Here is a 19,324-nt window from a genome sequence, read left to right on the forward strand (position 1 = left end):
GTTTGTGAGCTAGTGGGGAATAGTCAATAAATCAGATCAATAAGTAAAATCAATGATCTGTTAGATGTTGATCAATGTTAAGGAGAAAAAGAGGTCGGGAAGGAGACTCTCAGTCATAGTGGCTGGGAGGGGGAGCGGCATTTTAGGGTGATAGGAAGGGCCGCACCAAGGTGACGTTTGAGCAGAAACCTGAAGGAGGGGAGGGAAGAGACCCCGGGGAAAACCAACCACGCAAAGGAGATAGCAGATGCCCAGGCCCCGGTGGGCTCGTGGCAGCAGTCTGGGGACTGGAGTGGAGGGAGCTGGGAAGTGTCAGGAGGAGCCATTGAAGAAGAAATGGGGTCTCATGGTCATGGGAGGACTTTGGCTTTTTCTGAGCCAGGTGGGAGCCACTTGCAGTTTTGGGGAGAGGAGTGATGGAACCTGATTTGTTTTAACAAATTGCTCTGCACTGTGGGGAAGAGACAGGAGTGGAGGCAGGGAGACTATGAGGAGGCCGCTGTAATAACCTTGGCGAGAGATGATGGCAGTCCAGGTGGGAAGAATGAAAGTGGAGGACCAGGTGATGACTGGTGGTAGCGAGGTGATTCTGGGTCACACGCGGACACGCCATCACGTCATCAAAGCATCACCTGGTTAGAACGTTACGCTGTTTTCAGTTGGTTTCAAGCCTTCTGGAAACATTGAGAACGTCTCTAGTTGGTGCTGGTAGGCCTTCAGCACCTCCAACTTTTGCAAACCTTCTCACCTTAACCAAAAATGACCAGACACTCAAAGACTCCTGGCTTCTCTGTCCAGTTAATATTTTAAAATGTGGTTTTGTTTCTATTACTTTTATTGTCTTTGGTTTTACATTGCCTTCTATTTGTGAAAATTGAGACCGGGTTTTGGGTACTAAGAGAAAAGTGCCTTTTAAAATAAACTTTCTAGATAAATAAGTTGATTTAAAGAATAATATAGATCAGCCGGGCAAGGTGGCTCACACCTGTAATCCCAGCACTTTGGGAGGCCGGGGCGGGCGGATCACGAGGTCAGGAGATCGAGACTAGCCTGGCCGATATGGTGAAACCCCGTCTCTACTAAACATACAAAAATTAGCCAGGCATAGTGGTATATGCCTGCAGTCCCAGCTACTCAGGAGGCTGAGGCAGAAGAATCACTTGAACCTGGGAGGTGGAGGATGCTGTGAGCTGAGATTGCACCACTGCCCTCCAGCCTGGCGACAGAGCAAGACACCGTCTCCAAAAAAACAATAATATAGATTGTGTGATGGTTTGGCAAAAATCATGAGATGGGCCTTGAATGACTGCAGTTTGGGAATCTCTGGGCTAAAGTGGAGGGCTCGTTTTCAGCTGCGCATGACACCCATGCCTCCCAGATGCTGACGTGCTAAGGCCCTGGGGCTCTCAGCGATGCTGTGTGCTTCCCAGGGTCTCCAGGCACCTACTGGCCCTTGAATCTGAAAATCACCTCCACACACCAACCCTGCTCCATTGACCCCTCCTCTCATCCTGCCTGCTCTGGTAACTACAGGTGCTATTTAAGAGGCAGCTGAAAGATTAATTAAGAGCTGGGAGATGGGGCTTCAGGCCAGAGAAGGCTGGCTCCAAAAGCAGGGGCTAGATCCCCTGGCTATGCCTTTGTAACAGGGGCCCAAGAGCCTTTGCCACCTGCTCCAAAGGAGGGTCCTGGCGGGGGTGGGAGGGGAGGAGGCTGGGGAGGACTCTAATCACCATGGCTGTCACGCCCCTGAGCCAGCCTCCCGCTCTTACCTGCCCCTTGGGAGCTGAACTGTCGTCACATTTTCTTAGCTCTCTCTTCAGTCTCAACTTGCCCTTTCTCCACGTGCAGCCCATAGATCATCCTTAAAGGTTGGCGTGAGCTAGGAGGGAGGGAGGCCAGGAGGGGAGCAGCCTGCAGGGACGTCCCCAGGAAAGAGGTTTCTTTTGGCCCCGGTAGTTTTCTGGTGGCTCCAATCAAGAAAGATCGATCTGGCCCGTCCCCTACCCAGCTCAGAACTGGCTGGGGCCCTCTTGCCCTGCTCAGTACAAGTATGATCCAGCCAGATCGGCCTAGCCTGGGGCTGGTCATTTTGAGCAGGGTCATTGTCACAGCTCTGGCCCCACTGCCCTACCCATTTGTTCTGTGCCGTTTGCTCACTGGGGTCCCATTCTGGCCACTCTCCCGCTGGGTGCTTGCACTGGATCCCAAAGGCCTACAGGTCTGGATTCAGGAAGAGTGCACTGAGCTGAGCTCCTATACTCCAAGCAAGGTTCCGGGTGCTTCCACAGATAGCATCCTTTTAAAAAGACTCCAGGACTGTGTCAGCATCTCCACCGGAATCTGACCAGGCCAGAGAAGATCGAAGTGGCCTGGTCAGACTGCTGCTGCCTGCTTCCGGGCTAATGTCCCCGGGCCCAGCCCCTGGCCTCCCTCAGGGTCAAAGTCCCAGGGTGGTGTGTAGGTTCTGGTCCTGGATCCCCTGATGGAGTCCACCTGGGATGCCCACGTCCCAGAAGGACCAGGAGGACAGAGGACACGCGGCTTCTCAGGTGCCCTTACTTGGCACTTAGGCGCCCAGTTGCCCGCCCAGGGGCACCCCCGTTGACTCCTCTCCAGCTGTCTGAGTTCCCCCCGCGCCTGCCCCTCCAGCTGGGACCCATTTCTAGCCCTGGCTCTGCCATCCACTTACTACATTACCTGGGGACGGGGAGGAGTGGGGATGGATGCTGGACAGATGTGTCTGCTCAGAAACCCCAGGATGGCTGGCCTGGCCTCCCCAACCTAATTCTAGTCTTTGTCTGGGGCCAGCTCAGGCCGGTTACTGAGGTCCTGGATGGCTCCCTGGAATGCGTCTTAAGCAGATTTTGTAAACTACGTGGGGAAGGAGGGGTACTCTTCCTTCCTGGCCCCAAAACTTGACCTACGAGGCTATGTCGGCAAAGAGCAGGGCTGGTCAGGGAGGCTGTCCTGCCAGCTATGTGCCCTTCACTCTTGGAGAGTGGGTGCCTGGCTGCCAGCTTCTTCTGGGCGCTGGCTGAAGGAACTCACTGCTCCTTTGCTGTCTTCTTCTGGGTTAGCTGGGAGACAATCTGTCACATTTCTAGGGTGTTTTGGAGCAGCCCCTCCTGGACATCAGGAATGACAAGGAGAATTTCCAGGAGCCCCCCTCCTCTAAGGAATGGGAGTGCACCAAGGCCAAGAGGCTGGGTAATGGGGTTGTGACAGGAAACTAAGCCCAGGACAAAGGGAGTGTGGGAGCCGGGGCATGAGCAGCTGTGGAGTCCTCACTACAGCACCCCAGGTCCCAGGGCTGAGAAGTCAGACATTCACAAAGGCACATGTCAAAGGCGTGCAAAGGAAATAGGTCCCAACTACAGCCCATTTGGATGGGAAGTCCTGGGATGGCCCCAGATCCAGGCAGATCACTTCAGCTATAGTTGAGCCCCCTGCAGAGGCAGCAGGGGAGAGGGAGGCGAGGGCAGCACGTTAGTCCAGCTCAGGTGGGAGCTCTTCAAACGACACGTTTCTAAGGGACTGATGTACTTATACACTTTAGTTCCAGGCATCTTTGCAACACCTAAATTGGAAAGATCTAAGACGTGACAGTAATTCTGTTTGTTTGGTTTTTTTTTGAGACTGAGTCTCACTCTTGTCGCCCAGGCTGGATGGAGTGCAGTGGCGCGATCTCAGCTCACTGCAACCTCTGCCTCCCAGGCTCAAGCGATTCTCCTGCCTCAGCCTTCCGAGCAGCTGGGATTACAGGCATGCACCACCACGCCCAGCTAATTTTTGTATTTTTAGTAGAGATGGGGATTCACCATGTTGGCCAGGCCGGTCTTGAACTCCTGATCCCAGGTGATCCGCCTGCCTCGGCCTCCCAAAATGCTGGGATCACAGGTGTGAACCACCATGCCTGGCCAGATGTGCTGATAATTCTAAGGAGTGGAAGATTCCAAGAACAGATTGGAAGAGTACAAGAGTGAGGCTTCCCAACTCTTGAGGCTCCAGCAGCTCTGTCTTGCTGGCTTGTGCCCAGGGGTCGGCGGGGGGCGGTGGGGGGGTGCACGGCGTACTTCCCTGGGCTTGATTCAGGGCATGGGGGCAGTCACTGTAAGATGTTGATTGTGTTGCCTTTGAGCTTCTGATGTTTCTGAAGGTGAAGCACTGATTTGTTTGGAAAGTGTGGCCTCTGCTTGCTGAAGGGACAGAGCCATTTTCCTCCTTTCCCTGGACTGGGCCAGGCCAGGCCTGTTGGGAACTGGCCTTGGGCTTGTGCCAGACTCTGAGGGGGATTAAGACAATAGCACGCTTGTTACGAGGAGTGAGGAGCGACTCAGCCCAGGGCAGCTTTCCCTGCCTGCCAAGGGCACAGGGGCAGGAGGGGTGAGGGGGCCTGCATCGGGGACACCTACTCTCTGCTCACCTGTGCCTGGGTTCTCCAACACTCTGGGGAGAGGGCCAGGGCTGCCTCCAGCTTGGCTACCTCTTCTCCCCTACAGAGACCCCCAAGTCTCGGTGCGGCATCTGCTAGGGACAGGGAGAGAAGAGTGAGCAGGGGATGGGTTTGCGAGGGACTCGGCCTCCTCCTGCCTGCTCCCCCATCCCCCTTACGTGCCTAGACCCCCAAAGCCAGATTTTCCAGGCTCTAACTCCTGTGCGCTCCCCTTCCCAGAAACCCCCAAAGGCAGCAGGGAATGCACCTGTTACCTTACATTCTACCCTGAGGATTTTCTCCCACAGATCCCCTGCTTGAGTGAGTTCAGAGTGCCCTGAAAGCAGGAATCCCAACTTCTCCTTTCCCAGAGCATTTTAACAGAACACAGGGTGCTACTCTCTACAGCTGCATTGTCTAATAGGGGAGCCACCCATATTAGACGCATGTGGCTATGGAGCACTTAAAATATGCCTCATCTGAATCCAGATGGGCGATGAACATAAAATGCACAAATACGCCTGTAAACCCAGCACTTTGGGAGGCCAAGGCAGGCGGATCACCTGAGGTCAGGAGTTTGAAACCAGCCTGGCCAACGTGGTAGAACCTCATCTCTACTAAAAATACAAAAATTAGCTGGGCATGGTGGCGGGCGCCTGTAATCCCAGCTTCTCCTGAGGCTGAGGCAGGAGAATCGCTTGAACCCAGGAGGTGGAGATTGCAGTGAGCCGAGATTGCGTCACTGCACTCCAGCCTGGGTGACAGAGCAAGACTCCATCTCAAAAACAAACAAACAAACAAACAAAAAACCACAAATACGTCCTGGATCTCAGAAGTGCAGAGCAATCAAACACATAAAAGATCTCATTAATAATATTTAATACCTATTGTTGAAACGATGATAGTTTGGATATACTGGGTTAAGTGAAATATATTTTAAAATTCATTGCACTTCTTTTTTAAATGTGGTTACTAGAAAGTTTAGCTTCCATATGTGCCTTTTGTGTGTGGCTCATGTTATATTTCTCTGGGCCTGTGTTGGTCTAAGGGCAGAGTTTCAGACTTCCCTGAACGCAGCGCTGCCTGCAGGATCACTGGGACCTTTTGGTGTTGATCCTGTGAACCCCAGCAGAGTTTCTGCCTGTTTCCTGAGAGCAAGTTCTGGGGTGTGTGGAGGCCACGTGGCAGGTGTGGCAGAGTTGCCGGAGGAGGGGCTTGAGGGCTCTGCCCGCTCCTGGTGAGGGGGTGTCGAGGAGCCTGTGCCCTCCAAGGCAGCCCTTAGCGAGGTCCCAACATACTAGGGCCCTTGTGCATAATGGCTCTGGAGCAAGCAGGTCCAGAGTTCAAGTCCTAGCTCCACTGTCAACTAGCAGGTGGCCCTTGGTGCTCTGTGCCTCAGTTTCCTTCTGTTAAACTGCAGTTAATAGTAGTGCCTCCCTCACGGGGTTGTTGTGAGGATCAGATGGGTTAATGCGGGTAGAGAAGTCAGAACGCCTCTGGCACACAGCAAGCATTCAGCACACATAGCTGGCGGCGTTGGTGAGCTTGTCTGGGTCACTCTAAGGAGGGAGGAGATAGAAGGTGGTGGCTGGGGCAGGCAGGCTTGAGTCTCAGTGTTTCCCATTCACATGAGTATGACCAGAGCCCCGGTAGCCCAGGGTCGGCGGGGGGATCCACGGAGCATGTGTCTTCTCCTGGGAAGCTGAGTGGAAGACTGGAGTCCTGTGCTGGCCTGGCCAGCTGGAGAAGGTGACCTTGAGGCCCGGCAGGTGGAGGCAGGCCAGGCTGGTGAGGGGCTAATAGCTGGAGGACCCAGGAGCCTCGGCTCTGCCAGACCCTCTGAAAGCCTGGTCTTAGCACCGCTGGAAATTCTTAAGCTGGGATTTCAGTTTAATTACATATTGATTAAATGGAACAAAGGCGTGGGGGCTCCAGGGAGCAGGCTCGGTGAGCGCCTGATGGAATTTCAATCCTGCTTTTTCCCTGCCTCCCACTCGCTTAGAGCCTCGGAGCTGTCCCTGCTGGGGAGGCCCGGACTCTGCATGAGCTCTGCGGGCATCACAGGCCCTGTCTTGGACAGAGGCGCAGCCAGTGGCCCTTGGCCACACACAGCTGGGTTTGCTTGCCTGCCTCAGTGCCTAGCACACCCATCCACCTACCATCCCAAACCCAGATCAGGCCTGGAGAAAAGCCCATGACCTGGCCAAGGTCATGTCCAAGGTCAGAGGCAGATCTGGGACTTGTGCCCAAAGACAGTCCAATTCAACAAGTATTTATCGAGTGCCTACTCTGCACAGGTTCTGCTCTAGGCACTGGGAAGTGAGTCAGCTGTGGTCCCTGTCCTTTTTCATGGAACCCTCGAGCTGATTGGGGGACCAGGATGGTCTTCCTGAGGAAATGACATGAGGCTCAGGGGACAAGAGAAGGTAGCCAAGTAAAGGCAGGGAGGGAGGCAGAGGATGGGAAAAGCATTCCAAGGAGATGGAACAGCATGTGTGAAGACTCAGAGGCAAAGGGGGGCACTTTGGTGGGCCAGAGGAGGCTGGATCAGGGAGACTTAGGCAGGGAGTGGTGGGGTGGAGCTGGAGGCATGAGGCAAACCCATCACCAGGGGCATACAGTGGACACAATGGGCATCACAACATCCTCCCCGGCCTTCCCCCAACAATGCAGTTTGGAAAACTGACCTATGATCATGGGAGGCCATGTTGCCAAATTGGTGATTCTATTCCCTAACCAGTGATTGGTTCAGGAATAGGCATGTGACCCAATTCTGGCCAACGATAGGTAAGGAGGAATTACATCTTTGAGCTGCTGAATCAACCAGCCCTGAGGCCCACCTACTTAAGCATTCGTGTTTTGTGAGCCAATATGTTTCTTTATGGTGTAAGCCAGTAGCACCTGGACATTGTGTTACTTGCAGCCCAAAGCTTCCTGACTGATGCATCTGTGTAGACTGTGGTGAGGACTTTGGACTTCACCTTAAGAGCAATGGGGAACCATTGAAGAATTTTAACATGAAAATATTTCTTTTAAAAAAATATCACTCTAGTCCGGATGTGGTGGCTCATGCCTGTAATCCCAGCACTTTGGGAGGCTGAGGCAGGTGGATTACTTGAGCTCAGGAGTTTAAGACCAGCCTGGCCAACGTGGTGAAACCCCATCTCTACAAAAAACACAAAAATTAGCCAGGCACGGTGGCAGGCGCCTGTAATCCCAGCTACTCAGGAGGCTGAGGCAGGAGAATCACTTGAGCCCAGGAGGCAGAGGTTGCAGTGAGCCGAGATCACACCACTGCACTCCAGCCTGGGTGACGGGATTGAACCCCTGTCTCAAAACCAAACCAAACAAAACAAAAATATTGCTCCAGGCTGGGCGCGGTGTCTCACGCCTGTAATCCCGGCACTTTGGGAGGCCGAGGTGCGTGGATCACGAGGTCAGGAGATCGAGACCATCCTGGCTAACACGGTGAAACCCTGTATCTACTAAAAATACAAAAAATTAGCTGGGCATGGCAGCGTGTGCCTGTAGTCCCAGCTACTTGGGAGGCTGAGGCAGGAGAATGGCGTGAACCCAGGAGGTGGAGCTTGCAGTGAGCTGAGATTGCACCATTGTACTCCAGCCTGGGTGACAGAGCGAGGCTCCGTCTCAAAAAACAAAACAAAACAAAGCAAAAAAAACAAAAATATTGCTCCAATGATGAGTGTACTCAATACCACCAAACTGTACACTTAAAAATGGTTGAGCTAGTACATTGCACGTTGTGTGTATTTTACTACCATAAAAAAATTGAGAAAAAATATATCACTCCTGGTGCAAAGTCAAGAAGGAGGAAGGGGTGAAATCAGAGACACCAGCTGAGAGGAAGGGGCTGCCTAGCGGGGCAGTGAGCTCCCACTGAGGGGTGAATAAGTAGAGGCTGGACGGGCATCTGTCAAGGGGCTGGAAAGACATCCCATGCCCTGGGCAGGGCCTGCGCAGGATGCCATCTGTCAGTTCTCGTCCACTATAAGGTTCCACAGTGTGCAGACTTTCTTCCTGCTTCCCTGGGAATTACAAGATCCTTGGCCCTGAATGAAGTTCCCAGACCAAGGGGGCCACCCAGGAGTCAAAGTGACTCTTAAACAACACTCCCTATCCCCCTTCTTTATTTTCCCTCACAGCAGTTACCAATTTCACATATTTGATGTATTTTACTTACTTATCTTGTTTATTATCTATTCCTCCTATGAAACCTGTGTTGTCCGCTATTGTAGCCACTGGCCACATGTTTGATCACTTGAAATGTTGCTAGTCCCAGTGACGATATGCCGTAAGTATAAAATACTTTTGATAAATCTTCAAAATCTGGTTGTGATTTAGTACAAAAAAGTAAAATATCTTAATTTAAAAATATTACATACATGTTGAGGTGATAATATTATAGATATATTGGTTTAAATAAATGATTTTACAAAAATTAATTCTATTTAATTTTGCTTTTTTAATGTGGCTACTAGAAATTTAAAATTAAATACGTCGCTAGCATTATTTTTCTAATGGACAGCATTGCTCTAGACCAGGGGTTGGCAAACTGTGGGCCAGCTTCACACAGCAGCCTGTTTTTGTGCAGCCCACAAACTAAGAATAGTTATTACATTCTTCTTTTTTTTTTGGAACAGAGTCTTGCTCTTCTGCCCAGGCTGGAGTGCAGTGGTAGGATCATGGCTCACTGCAACCTCAGCCTCCTGGGCTCAAACAATCCTCTCACCTCAGCTTCCTGAGTAGCTAGGACTACAGATGCCCACCGTCATGCCTGGCTAATTTTTTTTATTTTTAGTAGAGATGGGGCCTCAGTATGTTGCCTAGGCTGGTCTTGAACCCCTGGGCTCAAGCAATTCCCCCGCCTTGGCCTTTCAAAGTGCTGGGATTACAGGCATGAGCCACCATGCCCAGCTAATTACTACATTCTTAAATGGTCGTAAGAAAATAAACAAAGATAAATATGCAACCAAGGCAGTATGTAGCCTACAAAGCCTAAAATATTTACTATCCGGCACTTTACAAAAAATATATACCACTTCTATGTGAGATTACAAGATCGACAAAGGCAGGAACTTTTGTCATTTTTGTTCTTCAAGATGTCCCCAATGCCTACAGCAGTAAGTGCACTGCTGGGCACACAGTAGGTATTCAATAAACATTCAATGAATGAATGAATGAATGAATGAATGAATGCATTGCCAAACCTTGCATGGCTGCCTTTTGTTCCTGCCCTAGCTGCTGCCTCCCCAGCCGGCCTGGCTGCTCCCGAGAGCAGAGATGTGCCTTTTCCTGTGAGCCCTGCCACACAGTTGAACATTGGGTAGAGCCCATGGGCCAGGGGCAGAGGCAGGAACACACTCAGGGCAGCGTGCTGCCTCCTCCCATCCTTCTAGAGGCCAAAGCCACCACAGTCCATTCCTGTTGCCAAGAGCCTTGGGGGTAGGGGAAGTAGACAGGAATTCACCACTCCTTAAACCAGAGAAGTCCAGAGTCCTCTGAGGGACAGGGCTCTTGATGTTCAGAGGGAATCAGCCTCGGCCTGGGGAGGCTGGGATTTGGGTGGTTTATTCTTCAGCGTCCACTTCTTCTCCAGAGAGTCTGTCAGTGACAGGAAAAGTGACTCAGAACCCCAGAGCCAGGCCTAGTGGACACTAGGTTCTGCCTGTCCCATGGAGGGTGCTGTGGCTTTGACGGATTAGAAGTCAGGACTTGGCCATCATGACTACATGCTTTAAAAAATATGAGTTTTCTTTTTTTGTTTTGGGTTTTTTAAGGCGGTGGGGGGCTACTTTGTGTTTAGGTTTTACATCCTTTGCAATAAAGTTCCACCCATCCAGCTTGTGCAGTGAAAAAGAGGGAAAGGACTTCAGTGGCTTTGCCTTGTCTATACATGGGCCAGAGAGAAAAAAGGAAGAGGGCTGGGCGCGGTGGCTCACGCCTGTGGTCCCAGTACTTTGGGAGGCCGAGGTGGGAGGATCACCTGAGGTCAGTAGTTGAGACCAGCCTGGCCAACATGGCAAAATCCCGTCTCTACTAAAAATACAAAAATTACCTGGGCGTGGTGGTGGGCATCTGTAATCCCAGCTACTCCAGAGGCTGAGGCGGGAGAATGGCTTGAACCCAGGAGGCATAGGCTGCAGTGAGCCGAGATCATCCCATGGCACTCTAGCCTAAGGGATAGAGTGAGACTCTGTCTCAAAAAAAAAGAAAAAAAAAAAAAAGAAAGAGAAAATGTGTTTCTCTTGCTGGGCATCAGAAATAATGGTGCGAAACCCCCAAGAGGTGCTCCAACCACGGGTGGGGTATTGATCCCTCCCACAAGGGAGGCTTGCTCATGTGGGACGCTGTATGATTTTGTGAGCAGTGCAGACTTTGCAATCAGACCCCCTCATAAGGGGAGATCACTTAATCTTTTGGGCCTCAGTTTCCTCCTCTGCAGAATGGCTTAGGGTGAGGGTCAGAAGTAGTGGGTGAGCGAACTGCCTGGCAGATAAAAGACCCTCAAAAATGGCCATTGTCATTGATTATTTAGGAGATAATTCCCTCCCCAGGAACCAGAGAAGGGAGAGGCCTAGGCAGTTTCTATTTGCTTAGTACGGTCAAGAAGTTCTCTGTGACCTGGAGAGGACCCAGTGCATCATGTCTTAGCACTTAGGGGTTGGGCGGTGATGGTTTAGGGGAGGAGGGTCATAGTACCTGCAAGAAAGACAGCAAGAGATTGAGAGAGTGAGCTGTTCTCCAGCCTGAAAGCCTCTGTTCCTCCCTCCCACCTCCTTTTGTCCTGGCTCAGAGCTCCTGAAATGTGGCAACAAGAGATTGGCAGCTTTCTTGTACTTCTTCCCCTCCCTCCCTCCCTTCCTCCCTCCAGTTTATTTATTGTTATATGGGCTGTAGTTAAGGAGGAAAAATCTGTAAAAATTAAGTGATTCTAAAGGTGCTGAGCAGGGACAGGGTGGGGGGTGGGGAGGGAGCTGGAGAGGGCTGTGCCCTTCCCTCTTGCTGAAAACCTTTTGGAGAAAGGGTGCCAGAAGGAGCACCTGGAACTACCCCTCATTGCCTGTTCTGGAAGCCCAGCTAAAGAAAGCGCCTACTGTGCGCCAAGCCCTGGAGTGAGACAGACCAGGGCTCTGGCTTCACGCAGTGGGTGGGCAGCCTGGTGGGCGAGGCAGACACCAAAATAGGCAAGAGCTCTATTGCAGATGACAGAGGGAAGCAGGATCCCTGCTCCGGACCCCTGTTCTCTTCTTGGCTTGCTGAAGAACAAGCTTTCCTGGGCAACTGCTCATGGCGAAACTGGAGATTCTTTCAAATTTGTCCAAAACATAACTTCCCTTATGAGTGGTTCTCTTGGGTGGGAAACAGACCCCAGGGTGGAGGCAGACCCCAGCGCACAGTAGGCGCTTTCCCCAGCTGGACTTTCAGACCGGGCAATGGAGGGTAGTTCCAGGTGCTCCTTCTGGCGTCCTTTCTCCAAAGGGTTTTTGGCAAGAAGAAAGCGCACAGACCCCTCCAGCCTCCCTCCCTGAGCAGACCACCTAAGCCAGGCTGGGGTGGGGACGCGTCAGGGAAGCCATCCTGGAGGAGGTAACTGTGTCACAGGGGTTTGAAGTCTGCTCAGGAGTTTAGCGGTCTGGGGGCAGGGTGAGGGAGAAAGAAATGAATTTCCTGTTAGAGGGAACAATGTGTGTGAGGGCTGGAGACACACTGGCGCCTGGTGCATCCTGCTGGCTGTGTGAGCACATGAATCTGTATGTGGGGCGGAGGGGCCTAGGGAGATGGAAAGGAGCTGGGTCAGGAGGCCTTGAATGCTGACCTCAGCAGCCTGCAGATGATGAGAAGCCATCTGAGGGGGACATTTATGCCCTGATTTACAGGGGAGGGCCCTGAGGCTCAGAAAGGTGAAGGCCTTGCCCAAGTTTCCCAGACTGTGGGTTGGGCCTGGAGGACAGGCGCCGACCTCTGCCTGTCTCTGATACCAGTGTTAATGACTCTAATTCACTTTGGTCCATTAACAAGTCTTTATTGAGCAGAAGCAGGCGCCAGGAGTGCGTGGGTGTGAGGTGCCATGTGGGCGTCCCAGAGCCCTGCTCCCAGAAAAGATGGCCATCTGAGCCTCCCTGGACAGCCACTGGGAGGCTGAGATACGGCCCCCTGCCCCCATCTCCACCCTTGGGCTGAAGTGCTCCCAGATGTCATCCTAGGCTAGTGAAGCCTTCATTCAGGGAGTAAATAGCAGACAAGGAGGTGGGCGGTCACTGCAATCGCTTGTGATCTAGCTGCAGCCTGGACCCTCTTGGGGTCCAACCTCGGCCTTTGGGGATGTGGTGCCGGGATGTGCAGCAGGACTGGCCCAGTGGACACAAGCATCGCTTCCCACCTGGAGGAAGGGTGCAGGTGTGGCCAGAGAAGGAAAGGAGTTAACCTGGCATCTGGCTACCCCCCTTTTAGCTTCCACTGGAGGCTGGGATGGGACTGGGGGTGGGTTGCTGGTGAGCTGCTGGTAAGAGGGAAGCCGGAGGCCCAGGAACAGGGCGGACAGTGGGAGTCCTAGAGCACAGGAGGGCCCCTGTGATGAGGAGGTGCTAGCTGGAAAGTTCCACCTAGCTCAGCTTAGAATAGGAATAACCACGCATATGCACGAGACCTCATGACTGTGCATGCTAGGAAGAAGCCCAGAGGCTCCACGGGGCTGGCTCAACTATGCTTGGGACAAGACAGGGTCCCCAGCCCTACCACCCCTGTGGCCCTAGAACCCTGGCTTATACAGCTGACAGCTGTTGAAGGAGCAGGAACCCCAGTTCCTGCCTTGGTTCTGCTCCTGTCTCTGCTGTAACTCTGAGCAAATCACTGGCCTGCATTAGGCCTCTACTTTCTCATCTGTACAATGGTGATAAATCGCTGCCTAAACTGCCTCCAGGGGTTGTGCTGAAGGTCAAAGCCAGGCAACAATCATTACTTGGATTGGATTCCCCTGGAAAGTTTAAGGGGCTTTAAGAGGCAGGGGTTGCCCAGGTTCCCAAAGAAGCATTCCTACAACATGAACCCTTTTCACAGATGCAAAAACTACGGCCCAGAAAGGTGGAGATGCTTGATCAAGGTCACACTAGTGGATTGTAAGCCTGTGGCCTGGTCCTTGCCCTAGTTGACGTTAGTACCCTGGACAGGACCGCTTCTCCCCAGCCTGGTACCTATGTCATTCCCATCCCTTCGCCAGGGCTTTTCTGAGCCATTTGTTTTTATGTCTGTACATCGGGCGGCCCGCGAGCAAGGCTGGCGTCGGCCTGTGAGTATAAAAGTGACAAGAGGTGCTGGCGGAGTGTGGAAACTGTCAGCAGAACAGCCGCCTGTGAAATTAACATGATATCGAAAGCGTCAATGTTTATTTACTGGAAGTATCTGGACAGGATGCAAAGCAGGCCTGCAGCTGCTGCCTAGGGGCTGAGGGTGAGGGTCACCCCTGCCCATCCCTCCTCGCCAGCCACTAGGCACTGCTGGCAGAACCAGCTGACCCCCTGGCTGAGACCCCCACCCTCTTCTTGACTTGCTGAAGAACAAGCTCTCATGGAGGAAGTGGGGCTTCATTGAAATCTGTCCAAAGTAACGTCCCTCATGTCCCAGAGTTCCAGCGATGGTGTCCAGGAGCTAGTGAATAAGGTGGAGCCTTTCTGAGGCCCATAGTCTCTGGCGCCTCCAGGGTAGAAGTCACTACCCCCAGAGTTTGCTATGCTAGTCATTGCTTCCTTCTCCCCAGCCAGGAAGGCAGCTAGTTCTCCACGGCAGCCCTCCCCCAGTCCCAGCTGATTGGGCCGGGCTGAGGCCACTTGACTCAACTCAGCCAATCAGAGTGCGTCTCATGGGAATTTGAAATCAGGGCACAGAGATTAGGTTAGCTGCAGGGAGCTGAAACACAAGGTGTGTTGGCTCCCGGCAGGGGCTGCCATTTTGGGGTAGTCAAGCTCAGCTAAGCTCAAGTTGATAAATGAAGGAGAAGAGGGGACAAGAAGGAGAAGGGAACAGACATTCAGAGGGAAGAGAGAGGAGAGACTCTGCAGCTCCAGGTGGAGATAGACACAGATAGGTGGTTTTCAGTTTGGGAGAGGGAGGCCTGGGCAGTTCATTCTGCAACTGTGCTTCCTAAAATTTCTCTGTAACCTTATATTCAAAGGGCACTTTGTTTGAGAAGGACAGAAATCCACTGAAACTGGCCTTAAGACAGAGACTGACACCAGGACTGAGGTGACCAGAAATAGACCCTCAGATAAGATGTAGAGTTAGCTGGGAAAGAATGAAGGGGGGAGTCTGTGATCCGTGGTATGTGATAGCAAAGCCGCTAATTATGCCGTGCCCCATAGGTGTTGGGTCCTAGACCTCGGGACCTGCTGGAAGCCAGACTCAGGGGACCACAGAGAAAAGCAGAATCAGCGACTCCCCCTAGCCTAGCTCTGCCCCTCCTCACATCCTCTGTGACCTGCAGACTTGGCTCTCGGTAGCCCCCAGGCTCACCTTTCCCAGCCCCGCTGCAGAGAAAAACTCATAGTGACATGCTCCGGTTCCAAGTTCAACTATCCTAGGGAAGGGCTCTGTTTAGCAGCACTTGAGGCAGGTGCCAATTCCTTGTCCACGCATAGCAACAAGGAGATGTGGGTGTGATTGACCCAGCTTGGGTCAGGTTCCCTCCCCTAGACCAGGCCATGTCCAGGGTAGTGGGTTTCATAAGAAGACAGCAGTTTCTATTCATGTTGTATGATTTGGGGTGGCAGGGCAAGGAACACCTCACATAAACAGGGGCCCTTCTGTGCAGACACACACAAAAACGTCCACTCTTCTTTGGCACAGACATCTGGGGAGGTCAGGCCTGCTCCTACCACCTATTGCTCTCAGAAAAAGCGGAGGGGCCTGGTTGGCCTCTGTTGATGACAATTGTGTAGTGTTGGCTAAAAACTTAGCATCCTCCCTGTTCGGCTACCCAGAAGTTTTCATTGCACTTGGGCTGACTTCCTCCCATGATCTTATGGCAGGTGTGTTGATAGGTAAAGCTACCACTTAGCCCAGTGTTCCCCAGCTTACTTGGTGACAAGACTCACCAGGGGTCCTTCTCAGACATTTTGATTCACAAGAGCTGGACTACGTCTAGGAATCAGAATTCTGACTTTATCTTCGCTTGTGACTGGCCAGGAAACCCTGATTTAGGCCATGGAGGGTAAACCTCTCACCTGGCCTGAAATAAGACCAAACTAGAGGAATGAATGCCATTTGGGGCATGGACTCAGTTACCAGGAGGTCTTTAAAGCAGTGGTCTGTACCCTGGCAGCTGCACCATAGAATCACCCGGGGAGATCTTGAAACGCTTATTACCCAGGCAGCACCCTGCACCAATGAAATCAGAATCTTCGGGAGTTAGATATCCGTATGTTTTAAAGCTCCCCTGGTGATTACAACATTCAGCCAGGATTGAGGACCACTGGTTTAGGGAAAGCCATCATTTTCACTCTACCCACACTCCTACTGCAAGATCCGGCCTCTCCCACAACATGGAAAAGATGGCTTTCCTGACCTTCTGGTCCTGCTTCAGCTAATTGGACCAAGGGTGGACACCCGACCTAATCCTGGCCCATTGTAGTTTCTCTTGGGAATTTGGAATTGAACACAGAGGCTAAGTTGCTCCAGGGAGCTGAGGCTGTCATCTTAGGGTAACTGTGCTCAGTTAGACACCTTGGGCAGAAGAGGAAGCCACTCCTTCTGCAGAGAGGGACAGGTGACCTGAGCCGATGTGCAGCCAGAAGCTGAGCCAAGGGGAGAGAGAGGGAGTGCATCCCCAACCCCCAGGCTGGTCTGGGCTTCCCTGAGACTCTATCCTTACAGAAACCTCCCTGTTAGAGGATGTCTTCAAACACTGTTCCTTGCAGCCAAATAGTTTTGGATACAGAACACTGAAAGCTAAAACTTGTCCCAGCCCAGAGCCCCACACTGCATTCCCTGGAGGGCCCAGCACAGGGCAGCAGCTGGCACCTATTGGGAACATCCACAAGTCAGGTGCTTTCCATGGGCATTGTGTACAAGTTTCCCAACAACGCTGTAAGGTGGGAATGATTGTCCCCTTTTGTAGAGAAGTGTGGTAACGTGCCCCGGGGTATCTGGCTGGTTAGTGCAGAGCAGAGACATAAACCTGGGTATGCCAAATCACTTCCAATGGATCTCACTGGAAACCAATTATGCAAAACAGAGTAGAGTGGAGGTCCTGCTGCAGTAAGGGAGTAGGGGGCTGCTGCTTGCCTGTCCCCAGAGTGGGGACCAGGTGTGAGAGGAAGGCAGGGCTGCCCATTGAGGACAGCTCCACTTGGGCCCAGGCCCTGAGAGATGCTGCTGAAGAGGCAGGGCCCACAGTCCACACACACGGCGTGCTTGGAAGCTGAGACAGGGAGCTATGATTACTCACATTGTTACTGTCGCTGTCATCCAGGCTAAAGAGCATTTGGTGAACCACAGGGCCTGCTCCTCTGCCATCCGGCATGGTTTCTCATAATGCCAGGGACTGGTATCCCTGATCACAATTTTCAAATGTGTATTGTTTGAGTGATCCCCTCTTTGGAATCTGTCTCCCTCTCAGACTGTGAGCTCCCTGAGGGCAGGAGCTTTGCCTACCTTGTTCCTCATAATATTCCCATGCCTAGCCAGTGACTAATGAAAGTAGGTGTTCAATGAATAAGTGGGAAGGAGGAAGGGAGACAGTGTTCCAGAGCAAGAATCATTACATCATCTTATAGATGGGGAAAGGAAAACTCAGGGAGGGGAAACTGATGGGGGTCACAGAGAATGACAGCTGATCTGTGCTAGAACCTGGCCCAGAGTCAGGAGAAAGGAACCAGAGAGAAAAGTAGGAGTGAGATTCTAAGATGGGTGAGGTATGAGCAATCTGGGATAAATGTATAGATACAGACTGGGTGTGGAATGAAGGAGCGGTGAGGACACCCTCAGCAAAGCCCCTTCCTGCAGCTGAGACCACACTCTGGTGAGGAACAGCCTCCCATTCCAGTGGGAGCAGGAGGAATGAACAGTGATGGCTCTCTCTGAGGCCCGTAGCGGCAGTACATGGGCCACGAGCTGGAGATTGCAAAAGGCCTGCAGGGTCTCAGCACAGGGCCTGTTAGAAATCATGCTTGCCCATAATATTCCTACAGAGAGAGACAGATAAGCTTGTCCATCCAGTGTGGTCAAAGACAGTTATGACTGGTGGTCACCACAGACTCTAACTTTCTACCCCAATGAGACAAGTCTCCCTTTTGGACAGGGCACCTGGTGTTGGAATGGGTCTGGCTGTGTGGCAAGGACATGCCCTGCTTGCCCTTCACCGTGAGTCACCTGGTCTAGGGGCCCACGACCGTTCTGAATGTTCTGAATGAAGTCTGGGGACTGGAAGCTGAGTGAGGAATTCCCCGGAATAATAACAGTAGAAGCCAACATTTATTGGTCACTTGCTCTGCACCAGACACTGCGATGAGTGCTTTGCGGGAACGATCTCACTTACTCCTTACATGTTACGTGGGCAACTTGCCCAAAGTTACACAGCTGGTAGGTTGCAGAGCCAGGATTTGGACCCAGGTCATCTGGCTCCAGACCCCATGCTGTTAAAGCCGTGCACTTAGCTGCTTTGACCAGCCTCCACCTCAACATATGCCTTGTGTTTCAACATGATCAAAAACTCAAGGACTGGTAGTGCCTAGTCCCCATTTACACAGGCCCTAAACCAGGGGACTGATTTTGAATATGTGTGTGTGTGTGTCCTATGCCATGAGCTGCAGTTTGCCAGAAAAAAAGTGAGCGTGTGTGTATGTGTGCGCGTGTGTGAGATGGGGGAGAAAGGGTAGGGAACTTTCCGAGCAGAGGGAGGAACACATGGTGAGGCCTGGAGGGAAAGGAGCTTGGGCATCTGGGGAAGAGAAAGGAGGTCAATGTAATCTCTTCAGAATCCTGCGAAGGTGACAGGATTGAGTCACAGAGGCTTCCTGGAGGCTGAGCCAGGTCCCCTGGCAGCCACACAGTTCACCTCTGGCCAGGATGCGCACCTGTCCCCGGCCCATCCACAGGGAAGGGCATCTCTGGGATTCATTTTGGGCTCATTATCAGGCGCCTCTGAGGTACCCCTGCCACTCCTGCCCTCAGCCTAGCCCCATTCTAACCCTTTGAGAATGAGGGTCGAGGGCACAAGGGTCGCGAGTGGTGCGGGAGGTGGGACAGGGGTCCTGTGGCCACGCCCCTCCCTGGCCCCTCCCATCTCGTAGCCTGGCAGCTCCAGCTGGTCGCCTAGGAGACAGTGCCCGGCGCGCTCTCATTGGCCAGCCGAGGCTCCGAGGGCAGGAGCGAGGCTTCCGGGGGCTGCCCCCCTGCAAGTCCGTGTGTGTGTGTGTGTGTGTGTGTGTGTGTGTGTGTGTGTGTGTGTGTGTGTGTCTGTGTCTGTTTGAGGGGGAGGTGAGCACTGAGCCCAGGGGCCAGCCTGGCCGCGCTGTGATTCCAGGAAGGAGAGAGGCCGCGGCATGGAGACGGGCATGCGAGCGTGTCTGCGCCTCTGTGTGTGTGCAGGAGGGGCTGCTCTGTGGGTCTATGCATTCGTGTGAATGCAAGGGCGAGAGTGTCGCGTGTAAGTGTTCCAATGTAACAGCTATTTATCTGGTGTGTATTGATGGTTTGTGCTTGTATGGGTGCCTGTGAAAAGGTTTTGTGTGGACCCGAATTGCTGCCTGGCTTTGTGGGAGAATATGTGAGGCTGTACATATGTGAGCTCCTCCGTGTGCCCACTTGTGCTTGCCTGCACACAAGGGGCATTGTGTGTGTGAGCATAGAGGTGTGCATACTCATCCTAAAGAACAA

At 52.5% G+C, this 19,324-nt stretch overlaps 1 long non-coding RNA gene across 1 annotated transcript in view, besides 3 other annotated features; it reads left to right on the forward strand.

Moving 5' to 3' along the window:
• The window catches only part of LOC105370906 (uncharacterized), a 61,603-nt gene that overhangs the window by 16,916 nt on the left and 25,363 nt on the right, over positions 1-19,324 (forward strand). The window lies entirely within an intron of this gene.
• Positions 14,003-14,503: an enhancer, noted in NCBI's record as "H3K4me1 hESC enhancer chr15:77892119-77892619 (GRCh37/hg19 assembly coordinates)". NCBI's record gives its function as "activates a minimal SCP1, AML or CMV promoter by ChIP-STARR-seq in naive H9 embryonic stem cells {active_cell/tissue: H9 hESC(naive)}" and the evidence as "EXISTENCE:reporter gene assay evidence [ECO:0000049][PMID:30033119]".
• Positions 14,113-14,407: an enhancer, noted in NCBI's record as "tiled region #8640; HepG2 Activating non-DNase unmatched - State 10:DNaseD, and K562 Activating DNase unmatched - State 5:Enh". NCBI's record gives its function as "activates a minimal TATA promoter and a strong SV40 promoter by Sharpr-MPRA in HepG2 and K562 cells {active_cell/tissue: HepG2 | K562}" and the evidence as "EXISTENCE:reporter gene assay evidence [ECO:0000049][PMID:27701403]".
• Positions 15,680-15,836: a silencer, noted in NCBI's record as "fragment chr15:77893796-77893952 (GRCh37/hg19 assembly coordinates)". NCBI's record gives its function as "represses an EF-1alpha promoter that drives an FKBP-Casp9 reporter gene in an ReSE screen in K562 erythroleukemia cells {active_cell/tissue: K562}" and the evidence as "EXISTENCE:reporter gene assay evidence [ECO:0000049][PMID:32094911]".

The sequence above is a fragment of the Homo sapiens genome, chromosome 15 (genome assembly GCF_000001405.40).
Source record: "Homo sapiens chromosome 15, GRCh38.p14 Primary Assembly".
NCBI lineage: Eukaryota > Metazoa > Chordata > Mammalia > Primates > Hominidae > Homo > Homo sapiens.